Here is a 2,589-nt window from a genome sequence, read left to right as displayed (position 1 = left end):
AGGGGTCCAATATATGATTTTCTTGGGGATATCAGAGTTTCCTTTCAAAGGCTAGATTAGGAGTTTCAAACTTGTGGTCTGTAGATCTAACAAGTATTTTGTTTGGTTTTTGTGTTAACAATAAAAATGAATATGCATTTAGGTGAGATGTGTCCCGTCCTGTTCACAAGGGATCCCATACTCCTGACTGCTTCAGTCCCCCCCTTAATTTGCATATTTATGTTATCTTCCTGAACCCTATAGGTAATTTGAGTTCATAATCCCTGTATGGAATTCTCAGTAAACTGAACCAGAGCCTTTCAAATGAACCCAGCCCTCAACAATGATAGGAAAAACTGCTAAGCATCTACATTACAAAGAAATCTGAAGTGATATCTTCCTTTTACAGACACTAACAAAATATAAAAGAAAAGTATGGGTTCGGTAAGTTACACCACAACTGCTTTTTACGAGTACTTTAGACAGTATCAGAGAAACACAGATGCCCTTTGTTCTTAATCCAGATTAGTTGACGAATCAGCTTTAAATATTTAGATATGAGGAAAATACTCTCTTTTTGTTTGGGTGGAACCCTAAGAGTTTCAGTTAAAAGCTGATGCTTTCACCTTGAAATGCCTGTCATCTCCTTTCAGGAGCTGGAGGGGGGCTCCCTGAGGAAAAGCCTGGCCAACAAAGCAAAGCCCAGTGAACACTCAAGTTTTATGAGTTCTTAATGGCTTGAATCACTTGTAGGTGTTTTTAATACCTGCTGTCAGTTTGGAAATGTTTCTCGCTTGGCAACTGGATAAGGATAATAAACTTGCCAAGCAGGCAACTAACTATGCAATCTATTGTTAAAAATATAAAATCCAAAGAAATGGAAAAGCTGTTTAGGTCTGTAGTTTCCTCTCACTAGCACTTTTCAGCCGTAATATTTTTTAAAACCACTTCCTGAAGTTTATTCCCTTATTAAAAGGATTATCAGAGAAGAAATTATGTGGTAATAATCTGGTGCTCTTTCTAAACAACAAAAAGGAGCAATATATGTGAGAAGATATTTATATTATGTGCTTTTAATAACTGTTGCTAGTCACAAACACTTATTTTAATTAAGGAAAAGCTTAGCAGAAGTAGGTTGTGATAAGTAACTGTGGCTAACCTTTTTCTTTCCAGAAAAAAATATAAAGATAAATGTAAATTTTTGTTTCAGAAGAAAATAAGTAACTTCACTGACCACACAACTTCAATTCCCAGACTCAGGTTTTATCTTGTTGCTCCTGAAAATAAACTTCTGACTTTTCTTTTACATGCTAAAATATATCTTTTTAAAAATAATTGATATCCACTGAATAACAAAATGGTGCTTGAAAATGTTATAAAAATTGCAATTAATAAGACCTCTCCATCATTATTCAGGAATAGAGCTAAAATTTTTGAAAGACATTAACTCACCAGAGATAAGTACTCTGCATATTAAATAAGACCAAGGGTTGCGAAATTACTCAAAAAACAAAAAAAAAGCCTTGCAATCGAGCTTTGGCCTGGTAAATTTCATCAAAATCGTTCTTATTGTCATGCGGACTATTTCAATGTGAACAAACAGCAAATTCATTTTGACCAGTAATCTGTCAGTTTAGCTGTAATAGGTTAAAGGGTCACAATTCAATAGATTATAAACAGGAAATAATTTAGGAGTTACAACCTCATAGCCTATAGACCTAAGCAGTATTTTGTTTTGCCTGCAGTGATTGTAAGAAAATAGAATTTGAATTTAGGTGAGGCATACACTGTCTTAATCTTCACAGGTGCCAACATTCCTGTGGTAGACAGAATACTTAGTATTCTGTCTACCATCTTAGATGGTCCCAAAATTCTTACTCACTGAGGCATATCACCACTTGAACGTATCGTCTTCCTCTTCAGTGTGGCCAGGACCTGTAATTATGATGGATGTCACTTCCATGATTAGGTTGGATAGATTGCAAAGGTGAAGGGACTTTTGCAGGTGCATTTAGATTTCCTTATCAGTTGACTTTGACTTATTCAAAAAGACTTGATCCTAAGTGGGCCTGACCTAATCAGCTGTGCTCTTTGAAAGAGGGTCTTAGCCCTTCCTCAAGCAGCAGAAGTGCTTTCCTGCTGGCCTTGAAGAAGCAAACAGTTGAGTTGTAAACTACCTATGGAAAGGGCCTGCCTCTAAGAATTGAGGACCTGAATTCCGTAACTGTAAGAAACTAAATTCTACCAACAACCTGACTGATCTTGGAATAAGATCTTGAGTTTCCAGATTCCTGGCCTCCTGAAACTGAGATCATAAACATATGTCATTTTAAGCTGCTAAATGTGTGATAATTTGTACCTTAACAACAGAAAACTAATATATTTCTTAGTGCCTCAGCACCCACTGTAGTTCATACATATCCTCTTTCCCTTTCTTTTACAACCTAGAAAGATTCTATAATGTTCTGATCAGTTTCAGTTACTAAAACTTAGCCCTGTCCAGTTCATAATTTTAACTTCATATCCATTTACCTATTCCTCTTGGCCAGGCATAGTGGCTCAAGCCTGCAATCCCTGCACTTTGGGAGGCTAAGGCAGGAGGATTTCTTG

The 2,589-nt window shown here is 36.4% G+C and overlaps 1 annotated feature.

Moving 5' to 3' along the window:
* Nucleotides 378-944: an enhancer, noted in NCBI's record as "NANOG hESC enhancer chr3:161577576-161578142 (GRCh37/hg19 assembly coordinates)". NCBI's record gives its function as "activates a minimal SCP1, AML or CMV promoter by ChIP-STARR-seq in naive H9 embryonic stem cells {active_cell/tissue: H9 hESC(naive)}" and the evidence as "EXISTENCE:reporter gene assay evidence [ECO:0000049][PMID:30033119]".

Source organism: Homo sapiens, chromosome 3 (assembly GCF_000001405.40).
Source record: "Homo sapiens chromosome 3, GRCh38.p14 Primary Assembly".
Lineage (NCBI taxonomy): Eukaryota > Metazoa > Chordata > Mammalia > Primates > Hominidae > Homo > Homo sapiens.
This window is presented reverse-complemented; position numbering and strand designations above follow the sequence as displayed.